At 40.5% G+C, this 13547-nt stretch overlaps 1 protein-coding gene across 15 annotated transcripts in view, besides 1 other annotated feature; it reads right to left on the reverse strand.

The window, feature by feature from the left end:
• Positions 1 to 13547, reverse strand: part of FMN1 (formin 1) — a 429171-nt gene that overhangs the window by 88589 nt on the left and 327035 nt on the right. For all 15 annotated transcript variants that reach the window (XM_011521509.4, NM_001277313.2, XM_011521504.4 and 12 more), the window contains one exon: positions 2883 to 2975. In XM_011521509.4, coding sequence (XP_011519811.1) covers positions 2883 to 2975 — 93 coding nt within the window. The remainder of the gene's footprint in view (positions 1 to 2882; positions 2976 to 13547) is intronic.
• Positions 2648 to 3546: an enhancer, noted in NCBI's record as "H3K27ac hESC enhancer chr15:33148981-33149879 (GRCh37/hg19 assembly coordinates)". NCBI's record gives its function as "activates a minimal SCP1, AML or CMV promoter by ChIP-STARR-seq in primed H9 embryonic stem cells {active_cell/tissue: H9 hESC(primed)}" and the evidence as "EXISTENCE:reporter gene assay evidence [ECO:0000049][PMID:30033119]".

Raw genomic sequence — 13547 nt, forward strand, 5'->3', positions numbered from 1 at the left:
TCTAAAATGTTATCACTTTACCATGCAATCAGTAAAAAAAATCAGCAATAAAATATTTGACATGTTTTTTCTGCTGAGTTTTCAAAACCCCGTGTTTTACCCTCATAAGACATCTCAGTTTGGATTAGCCACATTTCAGCTTCTCAAAAGCCACATGTGGCTAGTGCTTGCCACATCGAACAGCACAATTCTAGACTGTTTTGACAAAATGAGTTAAGTAATGAAATAATTGTAACAAGCTATTTCAACAGTAGACTTTTCTACCATACGGTATTGGGAATGTTTAAGATTCCTACAATAGTATATATATTTTTATATTCTTAACTTTTTTAATAGAATGGTAATGTTTCCTTCAAATTCAATCTGTGTCATATTTTGGCTGGTTTTGTCTTAAGCATGATTTGATGTTATTCCTAATGTTACTTTTACCTCATCTGTAAAGTAGGAGCTGATGAGCTGATTGTCACTTTTACCTCATCTGTAAGTCAGGAGCTGATTGGCCGGGCACAGTGGCTCACGCCTGTAATCCCAGCACTTTGGGAGGCCGAGGCGGGTGGATCGCCTGAGGTCAGGAGTTCGAGACCAGCCTGGCCAACATAGTGAAACCCCATGTCTACTAAAAATACAAAAAATTGGCCGGGTGTGGTGGTGGGCGCCTGTAATCCCAGCTACCTGGGAGGCTGAGGCAGAAGAATTGCTTGAACCCGGGAGGTGGAGGTTGCAGTGAGCCGAGATCGCACCACTGCACTCCAGCCTGGGCAATGAGGGTAAAACTCCACCTCAAAAAAAAAAACAAAAAACAAACAAAAAAAAGAGCTCGTTGTATTCAATTATAGATCTTTTCCCATTAAGATATTCCTTGGGACAGAGTGTAGGAGTATACAATTAATCTTAGTACTCTTGGTCTCTAACATAGAGCCTAACCTATAGCAGGCTCAGAATAAATCTTTGAATACACATTAAAAGGTGAACTAAGCTAGAGAGTACTGGCTATCTGGGTTCCACACTGGAATTACGTGGAGAGTAAAAAAAAAAAAAAAAAAAAAAAAAGAAAAAAGAAAGAAAATCTGATGCCTGGCCCCACCCTGAGAGATGCTGATGATGGGTCTAGAGTTGGGCCCGGGTATCAAGATTTTAAAAAATCTCCTAAGTGATTCTAGTATGCAAGAGAGTTGAGAACCACTGTTTTAGGACTTTCTTAGAACAGCTTCCTATGGCCATACCTTTACTTCCCTGTCATAAGATCCAGTTTCCCTCATATAAATTCCCTTTCTCTGAATAGACCAGAATTGTCTTGGGAGCCCTAGTAGAGAAGAGGCTAACACATTATCCCAAATGGGGATTTGCAAATTGCTTTTCCAAGGTACCAAAGAAGATTCTCAAGGTTTTAAATCTATTCATATTTATGTCTTTTCAACAAAAAGAATAAAATTCACAATATAAGCTGGCTGCTTTGCAGACGCAGGATTCTAAGAGCATTACAGCATGCAGGTAAATAGTACCCTGACATGCACATGGCAAAATTTTCTAGAAATAGAATAGCAATTAAAAATAAAGATGGAATCCAAGTACAAATGAGCCTCATTTCAAGTTAATTCTGCATATGTAAAAAGCAGATACTATTAACTGGGGTCAGCAAAGGGAAGTAGTTCATGGTTTTCTTCAGGCTACTTAGGTTATATTTACACAGTATAATTATACAGCAATGCATTTTTTGATAAGTCACTTATAAAATCCATCTCCTATAGTCACATAGCACACAAGTATTGGTATCTTTGCTCTCAAGATGGTACTTTGTCTGACAGCATTTCTTCCATCATATATGAGGTTCTGTAATGGCTGAGAGAGAAATCTGACTTCTCCTACTTCAATACAGACAACCTTTCATCATGGAGAAGGGAGCAATGGTCTCTGCACCAAGGGAACAGCAGCTGGAATGGAGTTCCTCTGACTCATAGACTGAGAATTTCCCTGCTGATTCTCAAGCTGGTTTGGCCACACTTTATGCATTCACCCTGCTTAACAGTCTTTTGTTGATGGTGTGGTAACAAGTGGCCTTACTCAGTAATAGAAAAAGCATGTTGAGATATCCCCCAAAGGCTCCTATGTGTGTTTCCTCTAGCTTTCCAGCAGGGAAAAAAGCTGCCTGCAACAACCCCACACTTATTTTTGTTTTACATCTTAAGTTAAATTTGAGAAATTAGAATAGGAATTATCTAAAAGACATGATACTTCCATGTTCACTAACCCTGATAAACAGAAGTTCCCTACTCATGCCAAAACTGTGAAGGAAGGAAATCTGTTAAGATTTCAAAGAAAGTGTGGAGTCTCATGCATACCAGCACATCACTTTCACTGACTAACCCCCAGAGGGCTGATAGGTAGCAAGTGATTGATGGGTGACATTCACTTGGCCCTAATTTTCCTATCTGAAAAGGAATGGAAAATATAACACAAGTTTCCAAGTTGCTACACTCATAAAACCAGGAGGGTGATCACCATCCACCTGTCCAGGTTGACCACAAATGTGAAATGCATGACCACATCTGCCTTACATGTATGTCATTTGTCAGTAAACACGGGCTAAGGAATTCCTTGAGCCCCATGAAGAGACAAAAAAGTTTGTCCTCAGAGAATTTACAAAAGCCAGAGTAACATTCAAGAATTTAAAATATTAAACTGGATTTGAAAGGTGATATGAAAGCTACAGGACAACTTTATCTACCGTGAGTATGTAACCACCATGGAAAGATGGGCTAATGAAATCACCAGAGCTGCCTGTGGTCAGCCAGGATGCCAGGGGCCGTGGGCCTCAGAGAAAGATTCATGGAATGAAGGATGTTTCAGGGCCACGTGTATGTGCGGCTGACAAAGCTTCCTACCTTTTTGGAAGAACTCCTCTAGTTTGTCCTTGAAAGGCTGGAGATACTCCTTTGGGGACTCCTTGCACACCACCACCATCTGTTTCTCACTTGCTGTGAAGAGAAATTTAGAATTAGACTTAGGAACACAGATTTGCTGAGCTCCTGCTATGGGCCAGGTACTGTGCTATGCACTTGGCTATCAATTGTGCACACTCCTTGTCAACCACTGTTGGTCCAAATTCCAGGATTGGGGGGCAGGGGGAACAAAACCCAGAAATAATAAACAAACCAACAAAAATAATTAGTTCATTCTACACCACTCTTGAGGAACAGGGCAATGTACAATCCTTCCATTTTTCTTCTAGAGATCCAGAAAAGTCTCTGACCTGGGATAGGTAAAGTATTCTGCTTGTGTTCTCCCAAAGATAAAGAGAGGCAAAAACTACTTGAGGATTAGTCTCACGAAATTAAGGGCCTCAGCCCTCCTCAGATTCACACTCCAAAAGTAGAGCTTGAAAAATATATTGCAGAAATTCTCAGGCACCCAAGTTGTCTAGAACTACCAACCTAGTGATTGGCCAGGGTGACACACGCATCCCAACATGAGAACTAAGACCAGGTCGGGGAGGACCCTGTCAGTTCTTCATGCTTCCCGTTCACCTACCCTTCCTTTTAATCCTCTACTAACACAAGGGAAATAATTTTACATAATTTACTTCAGATAGACTATCTAAAATTTGTAATAGAGTACTTTTTGATAATCAGGTCTGAGGTGACTTGACTTTTTAAAAATGACCTACCTTATTGGATAGTTACGATTTGTCTACAGGGAAGCCACAGTAAATCATAGTTCACCATCACAAAAGGCAGTTAACCCAGCCAAGAGGCATCTCCCCAAGGTTCCTATGTGTTTGTGCCAGTTACAGCATGCACTGGGAAAAGAAAGGCTTCGTTTCTACAAAGCTAGAGCTGAGTCAAGATCACTTTCATCTGTTGACCATGGCTGGAAATTAGATATGTTCTTGTCCAAAAGCCTATTAATAAAGCACTGGATTTCACCATAAAGATATCATGCCACCTGGGGTTCACAAAATAGAGAAACATATACTACAGATCTTGGAGCAATTTATAAACACACAGGTAAGGTATTTTGGAAGAAGGAGGTTGGGAAGGAGATCTTTATTTACATTGGGAAATTCCTATCCAATAATTTGGCATATTTAAAACTAGCATCTCAGAACGTATACTGCAGGCAAAGCAATAAACATGTCAGTTCAGAAATAGAGAAAATGCAAAAGACACCACTTAAATGTTCTCTGAAATTAGTTATCTGACACTTTTCATTTGCAATATTGCCAACTAGATTGCAGAAATCCTAGACAACCCTGGGGACTACAAAACGGTGCTGAAAATGAAAGTACAATTTGAGGGAACCCTTTGTCATTTTCTGAGTCAAGGTCAGAATCACCTACATTTTCAGAGGTATCTAGGGATTTCTCATGATACAGGGATGCTAGGTCACAGGACAGGGGTACCGAAATTCAAGCTCTATCTATTGACATTGTTTCTTAAAGAGTTTTTATAGAGCTATCTAGAATATCTGCTATTAGCTATTCTGACAACCATTCCAAGGCTATCTAGGAAATCCTGTCCGTTGGGAGGCAAAGACTAATTTTTTAAATGACTTATCTTATTGAAAAAATACAAATCTTACCTTGAAACAACTAGAACAAATTCTATAAATCCAGTCAAATAATCATTTAAAACATTCATTTTTTCCACATTTTTTTCCTTTCTTTGTAAGCCTTTTTGTCCTCTCTACAATAACTACTTTATAGCTTCTCTGCTATTATGAGATTACCCTTCACCTCTTTTGAAATAGATGGATCTGTGGCCAAATGGTAAGTATATCCTTCCCACTACCATTCTTTTCTCAAAATAGGACACTTTGCGCTAGAGTAGTGTCCAAGGAGCGAGAGAGTAGATAGAGCTGGGATATATTTTGCAGGTGTAACAAATAGGTCTTGCTGATTCAGTCAAGGTAGGGTTGAAGCAGATGGAAGGGTAAAGGAGTGGGCAATGGGTTGCTGGAAGTGCCATTTGCTGAGATAGAGAATAGTGGGGAAGTATCTTGTTGGATTATGTTTTTTTAAGAGACAGAGGAGATCAAGAGTTAAATTTGATGCTTAAGTTTTCTCTAGTCTCTATAAATTGTAAGGCAATCTTGTCCCCTGAAAACAAAGGGGGAAAGGTACAAAAGAAGATAAAACTATTAATGGGTTCTCATCACAAATTCAACTAAATTCAAACTTCGGGGACTTGGATTATTTAAGGCCTTTTCCATTATGGCATATTTCAGCTCTATTTCCCACATGTATTTGACTAACCAAACCAAAGCTGTTCAATGTTTTCCAGTTACATTATTCGGCATTCCCAGTTCCATGTCTTCATTCATGTGGTTCTCTGCTCTGCTCTCATGCCATACATTCTTTCAACAATATCTGACAAAGTCCTGTTCATCCTAAAAAGCTTCTCTGAGATGCCAACATTGCCACAAAGCATTTTTCAATCCAATGTTTTTGCATCTTTCAAACATATCTATCACCGTCTGCACAGTGTTTATGTTTTACCTTTAATATTTATGTAAAAGTCCATACATTAATCCCTGAGAAGTCATCATGCAGGATTCATTTACTTCTCCCCAAACTTCTCTAGAGAGCTCCATGTATCTGGCGAAAGCATCAGATTTCCTTATCTTGGCTGAATGTCGTGGTTCGCACCTGTAATCCCAGTGCTTTGAGAGGCCTTGGTGGGAGGATCACTTGAGGCCAGGAGTTCAAGACCAGTCTGGCAACACAGTGAGACCTTGTCTCTCAAAAAAAATTTTTTAAGTTATCCAGGCATGATGGTGCATGCCTGTAGACCCAGCTACATGGGAGGCTGATCTGGGAGGGTTTTTTCTGCCCAGGAGTTCGAGGCTGCAGTGTCATACCATTGTACTCTGGCCTGGGTGATAGAGTGAGACAGACAGACAAGAAAGGAAAGAAAGAATGAAAGAATGAAAGGAGGAAAGAAAGGCAAAGGCAAAGGCAAGGCAAGGCAGGAGGGAGGGAGGAAAGAAGGAAGAGAGAGACAAAGAGAGAAAGAAAAAGAGGAAGGAAGGAAGGAAAAGGAAAAAAGAAAAGGGAGGAAGGAAGGAAGGAAGGAAAGAAAGGAGAGAGGAAGAGGTAGGAAGGGAGGGAGGAAGGAAAGAAGGAAGGAAGGGGAAAGGAAAGAAAGAAAGGAAGAAAGGGAAAAGTAGATGAAGAAAAAAGGTTTCTTCATCTTAACTAGATTCTCACGTGTAGGAAAGTTTAAATAAAATTAGCAATGTTGGCTTGGCACAGTGGCTCGTGCCTCTAATACCAGCACTTTGGGAGGCCAAGGCAGGTGGATCACTTGAGCCCAGGAATTTGAGACAAGCTTGGCCAAAGTGGTGAAACCCTGTTTCTACAAAAAATACAAATACTGGCTGGGCATGGGGGTGTGCACCTGTGGTCCCAGGTATTCAGAAGGCAGAGGTGAGAGGATCACCTGAACCCAGGGAGGTCGACACTGCAATAAGCCATGACCACACCTCTGCACTCCAGCCTAGTCTCACAGGGTGAGACCCTGTCTCCTGTCTAAAAAATATATATACATACATATTAGCAATGTTGACCCAGACTCCAAGTGGGCTTTCCAGAGATGCAATGTGACTTGCTTGCCCTTCCCCTGCACCAAGGGGTCACCGTCTCTGTGTCTCTGTACTCCTCAAACATGGTGAGGTGTCCCAAGATGATCTAAGGTTTGAGTGTATTTTAAAGACCCCCAGAAATGTCCACCACCTCATCCCATGAGTCATAAGCAAGGTAACAAAGGTAACAAAGATGATTATCCTGATTGGGTAGTTCTCAAGGTAGGCAGGGAAGCAGGAAAGACATCTGTTTTAAGGAATCAGCATTTCTCAATGAACATTTGTGGCCACATAAACTTTCCTGATTATTTCCAGCTATGATTCTGAGAATACAGTTAAAGAAAAGCTAGGATTTCCCACAATATAAATTGGGAGGAGTTCCTTAAATTATTTAATTAACCCTCTACTATATTCAAATTCCAACAATTTCATTTATATAGAATTGTTTTTCATGAACGTAGTATAAAACATGCCTGCAATTTACTAATAGGATATAATCGAACGCCTGACAATAACTCCTTCAAGGTTACTTCTCCCTGGTGAAAGCAAAGCTGAAGGCAGAGCTTGTTTCCCCAATTACAAAAGCAATACTTTCTCTTTTGCCTGAATTCACAGGGTTGATCGCTGCAGCTCTCCCTTTGTGCTAGATGTGGTGACAGAGCCCATGCGGTGCCCATCAAATTGCTCCAATTTTATGAGGCCATATCATGGGGGTGGTAAAGAGCTTGTGCTTGGATTGAGACCCACTAGGACTCAGGTGGGCTGTGGCTTGTTTTTCTCATCTGCAAAATGGGGACCTCCCGCAACACAGGCATGATATGATATTTAAGATAATACATACATAGTGATTTGCAGAATGCCTGGCACTCACAAGCAGGCTCATAAATATTATTTGTTATTTTTATGTTTGACTAAAATTGGTTGGGAAACATGTCAAGGTCAGAACAGCAAGAGAGTCATGGCTGGGGATTATTTGCTACAGATGCTGGGCACTGTATTTACGGAAATATGCCACGGTGCAAATCTCCTGTTTAGAACATAGGGATAATGATTTTCATTCCCGTGCTGAAGTTCCACCACCCATTGTGAGAATTCACTGAAGAATGCAGGCGAAGTCTTGGGGAAAGACGAAGCAAAATGGGAAACAATTCCCCTAGGCCTCTGAGCTTCGCGGTTTTGAAATTAGAAACTGAAACCAGTACAAACGAGAGCAGCTCCACTGCTGTGCTCCAAGGCCCTCTCTGCAGCCCCACGGGCTGGGATTCCCACGTGGCCTGTAAGAATTAAACTTCCCCACATGATCAAAGGAGAGGGCTGCCCTCCGACGGTCCCCACAGAGCCACGCGCCCCGGAGGCCAGGCAGCTTGCCTGCTCCAATTTATTGACTTGGCTTATCCGAGATGCTTTCTAGCAGACAAATGGGAGACCTGAAGGCTAATTAATGATGACACCGGAGACTGGCAGTGCATAAAGGAGAGAGGTCATGGACAGATCCACAAATGTCCTTCACTGTTCAACCGGAAGACTCGCATACGATATTGCTAGACCACCAAGGTTGCCTCAGGCGTGGGCTGTGCCAGGAGCTCCAGTTAAAAGCCAAAGTCACCCCAGGTTCTCTTTCTGTTATTTTTCTCTTTACACAATTTTTTGGCAATTAAAAATATATTAATTTCCGAAGTTAGTTACTACTAAGTGATCACTGTGAGACAGAGATGAAATATTAAAAACCAATACATAGTGAAATAACTGAGACTACATGGAGAATATTTTCACTTACAGGTTAAACACTGGTGGAGTATTTTAGTGAAAGGAAAGATATGGCCTAGACTATTTTAATATTTCAGATATTAGGCTGTTAAGGTCAGAATTATCTGTTTTTTGTTTTTCACCCCTAAGAACAAGGGAATAAAGCTTATTAAGCCACTTAAAAAGCCTAGGCAGGTTAGAAAAATGTAGCAGTAAGACCCAGATATAATTCATCAAAATCAAATACGTTTAATTGCTTTGTAAATCAAATGTATGTGGGCAATTGGTATGAAGATATGAAACTTGTTTCTTTTTGTATGAGCTGAAGGACCTGTGGGCTTAGTTAAGTCAGAATACAGTTTTAGAGGAAAGGAAAGGTTTATCAGGCTATCTGCTTTTCCAGAGTTCTCTCTTCTTCCCTGTCTGGTTACCTAAGTCTTACCCCACCCTTCCACAGTCCTGCGCCAGTTCTGCCTCTTCCTCACTTTTACAAGATCCATGTCCTGTTCACAAGCTCCCTGCTCAAAGGACCGCCATAGAAAATGGCTGCAGCAACATATGGAATTTTTTTACTAAAGCAAATTCTTGTATTATATCAATGGGGCTTAGATGAGAGACATAAAGTGAAGCCAGAGATCAAAAGCCTAGAATGCTTGGTTAAGGAGTTTATCATACAGGAATCCATTCAATAAATACATCAGTTCGGCTAGGCGCGGTGGCTCACGCCTGTAATCCCAGCACTTTGGGAGGCCGAGGCGGGCGGATCACGAGGTCAGGAGACCATCCTGCCTAACACGGTGAAACCCCATCTCTACTAAAAATACAAAAAATTAGCTGGGCGTGGTGGCGGGCACCTGTAGTCCCAACTCGGGAGGCTGAGGCAGGAGAATGGCGTGAACCCGGGAGGCGGAGCTTGCAGTGAGCCGAGATTGTGCCACTGCACTCCAGCCTGGGCGACAGAGCGAGACTCCATCTCAAAATAAATAAATAAATAAAATAAAATAAATAAACACATCAATTCAACACATGTCTACTGAGCACCTACTACGTGCCATAAATTGTGTCAGATATTGGGGTTCCATCAGCAAAAGAAACAGACTAAATTCTCTGCCCTCAGACATTATAGTGAATGGGTCACCAACTAAGATTTCTTAATGGGTATGGCACGCAGTAATTATTGTTTCTAGTAACTTGAACTGCAGGCAAACCTACGAGTTATTTCCTTCCATGTTCATCTTTTCTACTTTAATCCCTTTAGTAAGAACAGGACCGTCTAGTGCACTTCCTGGTGGTGGGGTGGGAGGACGTGGTTAGAAAAAGTGAATGTCCTTTTAGCTTCCTGCCCCCAAACACACTTTTATCAAAACAAATGTAAAAACAAATTCAGAACTCAGAATCTCAATATTAGCTTAACTTGCACAATTTTCTTCTTATGGCATTGGCCTTAAACTGACTAAGGAATTACATGAAATGCAATGTAATAAAATACTAAAGTTAGAACAGTAATATTTTATTTTGGCTAGCAGCAATGCATGGACTTCTATGAAAGGGGAAAATCATACTTACAATTAATAAAATATTAGATATTTTTTCATTTGCTTATTAAAGCTTGGCACAAATGAGAAGGTACTATTTTGTGGCTATCTACTGTACACACTTTTTTATAAGGCCATATAGAAAAGGCCACACAAAGGGAGGTTTCAAGTTGATTTAAGCCAAAAACAAATGACAGAAGCCTGCAATAAAAAGTACCTATTTCATGTTCTTGAGGTCTGATGCTACACAGCAGGAGTATTTTAAATCTTGGCAGGGTTAAGAGTAGGGAGTGGTATTACTGGAAATCACAGGGTGAGGATAACTAGGAGAGGGCAAAGGGGAAATCTATTCAAGGAGACACCGACATAAGTTAGATTTTGAAAGGGACTGCTACACCCATTTTCTACTAAATAGCCCTTCAAAGCCCACATTTCTCAGCTCAAATCAGACAACTGTGCATTAATGACCCATATGTGGAAAATCTATATGTAACCAAAGGTGTTTTCCTTCTTTAACCTTGGTTTGGGGATTCACCTGACATCATATGCAAATTTTTCCTCCTAATGACTCTATTCATCCAAAGGCAAGACACTATATTTAAAGTGGTCAAAAAACTCCGAATTCCCAGTTGTCCATTCAAGTTAAAACACAGGCTTTAGACACATGGAACCCAGGTCAAAATATTATCTCAGAATAATGTAGCTACATACATGGACTTAGACAAACAAGTGCCTTTTTATAGACAAACAAGTGCCTTTTTATATCTACACATACATAGTGTCTATGCCTCAAAAGCTAATTAGAACATTGTACTTAGTGAATAGAGCTTTAGTATACTCCAAGAAGTAGAAACAATCCAAATGCCCATCCATCGTCTGATAAATGGATAAATAAAATATACTTTATACACAGAATGAAATATTTGGCCATTAAAACAAATGAAGTACAAGTACATACTACTACATAGAAGAACGTTGAAAACATTATGCTAAGTAAGAAAAGCCAATCACAAGAGACCACATATCCTATGATTCTACTCACATGAAATGTCCCAGTAGGCAAATCTATAGAGACAAAGCGGATTAGTAGTGGCTGAGGACTAGGAGAGAAAGAGGGAGAGAGAGAGAGGTGACAGCTAAGGGGGTAAGGGAGAAAAGTTTTCCTTTTGGAGTAATAAAAATTTCAAAAAATTGATTGTGGCAATGGTTGTACAACTTTGTGAATACACCAAAAGTCATCAGATTGTACACTTTAAATGGGTGAATTATGTGGAATGTGATTTCATCTTAATAAAGCTGCCTAAAGCTAATTAGAAAGTCAGCCTTAAACTGGAACTATAATGAACAGATAAATGAAGAATGCCTCATCTGTACTTCTTTATATAAGGTAAATAATTTTAAAAATCTTAGGTGCAACTATGTCTTCATTATAATACTTACAATATTACTAAACTAGGAATCAAAAGTGGGAAATGAGTTTGAGATGCACATGTAATTGAGAAATTAAACATATTAGTCAATCTTCAAAAAGTAGCAACAAACGTTATTAAAATAAAAGACCTGGCCGGGCAAGGTGGCTCACGCCTGTGATCCCAGCACTTTGGGAGGACAAGGCGGGCAGATCACCTGAGGTTGGGAGTTCGAGACCAGCCTAATCAACATGGAGAAACCCTGTCTCTACTAAAAATACAAAATTAGCCAGGCGTGGTGGCGCATGCCTGTAATCCCAGCTACTCAGGAGGCTGAGGCAGGAGAATCACCTGAACCTGGGAGGCGGAAGTTGTGGTAAGCTGAGATCATGCCATTGCACTCCAGCCTGGGCAACAAGAGTGAAACTCCACCTCAAAAAAAAAAAAAAAAATAAAATAAAATAAAATACCTACTAAAAATAACTGAACTCAATAATAGAAATACAAGTAAAGCATTTAAATTAAAAGTGCTAACTTTTGGAAAATTAAAACAATAGCTTTCGCACATTCTTAATTGTGGCATACAGCTATGTATATATATTTACACATATACACCAACAATTGGTACATTAGAAAAATTTCCCCTTTGAGGAACATCACACAACGGGGCCTGTTGTGGGGTGGCGGGAGTGGGGAGGGATAGCATTAGGAGATATACCTAATGTAAATGACGAGTTAATGGGTACAGCACACCAACATGACAAATCTATACATATGTAACAAACCTGCACGTTGTGCACATGTACCCTAGAACTTAAAGTATAATAAAAAAAAAGAAAAAAGAAAAAAAATTTCCCCTTTGAACTACTCTTGATTTAAAGATGCATTTATTCTTAGTTTTTCATACACTCTATTTGGCTGGAAAAGTTATTTAATATCTGACTCTTAGTTTCTTGATACATAAAATCTTGTGAGGACTAAATAAACATGTGAAAAAAAAGCATTTTGTATGCTGAATAGTAAAACGCTAGCCAAAATATTCTTCAGCTATTTTAAATAATCAAACAGTAGAAAGGCTGGCTAGATAACATACTGTACGCGGCTTTATTCTTTGTTTCCAAGAAGAGCTAAACAATAACAGCAACCTCACAAACTCTTTGAATAACTGACATTCCTAATGTTTGTGTGTTTAATAAACAAATCATGTTACAGTCTAATCATTTTCCCAGTCCAACTGTCTTTTAAAATTTGCAATACTCACTTTTTCCTATTTCTTGTTTCATGACCCACTGAAATTTACTTCCTCCCCATTGTGACACTGAGAAAGCACTCTGAAGTCACTAATTAACCCATCCTGTGGGCAGTGTCCTCATTTTGTATCTCCTTCGCTGACAACCCAGCAGGATTCTGCATCTTGACTACTTCTCCTTTGTAAAACACTTTGTCCCTTAGCGTCTGTGTTCCCCATTGTGGGCTTTCCTCCTACTTCTGCCTGCCCTGTTTCCTATGCAGCCTCATCTTCCTATACAGAGTCATTAAACGTTAAAGTTCTCTAGGGTTTGGCATAAGGCTGCTCCTCCTCCCATGCTATGCTCTCTGTCTAGACAATGTCATCCAGGTAAACATTTCAGTAACCATATCTGGGATGTGTCTCCCAAGTTTACACAGCTAGCCCACAGTTTCACCTCCTACGGAACTCCTGAATTCATTACTCTTCACCAGGCTGCTATAGTCTCAGCCTAACTGTTCTTCCCATATCCACCCTGCCTCTCTCTGATTTGTTCTCCATACCTGAGTCAAAGTGACCTTTATAAAATCTCATTATGCCAGTCCCCTGCTTAAACCTGCAGGCACCTCTATTACTCTGAGAGGTTGTCTTCAATCCCTCAAGCTGGCCTGCAAGGCCCTCCATGCGCTACGTCTTGCCTGCCTTCCCAGCCTCACCCTGCTCTCCCTGCCACAGTGGCCCTTCTTTCCATTCCTCAAACATGCTCACTTCTTCCCATTATGGTGTTCTCCTGCTATGCCACTCTCCTTCACTTCCTAGTAACCAGGACCTAGTCAGTGCTTAGTCATCATTACGACCTCAGCTCAGAAGTCTCATCAGGTTTTTTTTTTTTGAGACGGAGTCTCGCTCTTTCACCCAGGCTGGAGTGCAGTCGTGTGATCTCCTCGGCTCACTGCAAGCTCCGCCTCATGGGTTCACGCCATTCTCCTGCCTCAGCCCCCTGCCCCCCGCTCCCTGTGCAAAGGCTAATTTTTTGTATTTTTAGTAGAG

The sequence above is a fragment of the Homo sapiens genome, chromosome 15, assembly GCF_000001405.40.
Source record: "Homo sapiens chromosome 15, GRCh38.p14 Primary Assembly".
In the NCBI taxonomy this organism is placed as follows: Eukaryota; Metazoa; Chordata; class Mammalia; order Primates; family Hominidae; genus Homo; species Homo sapiens.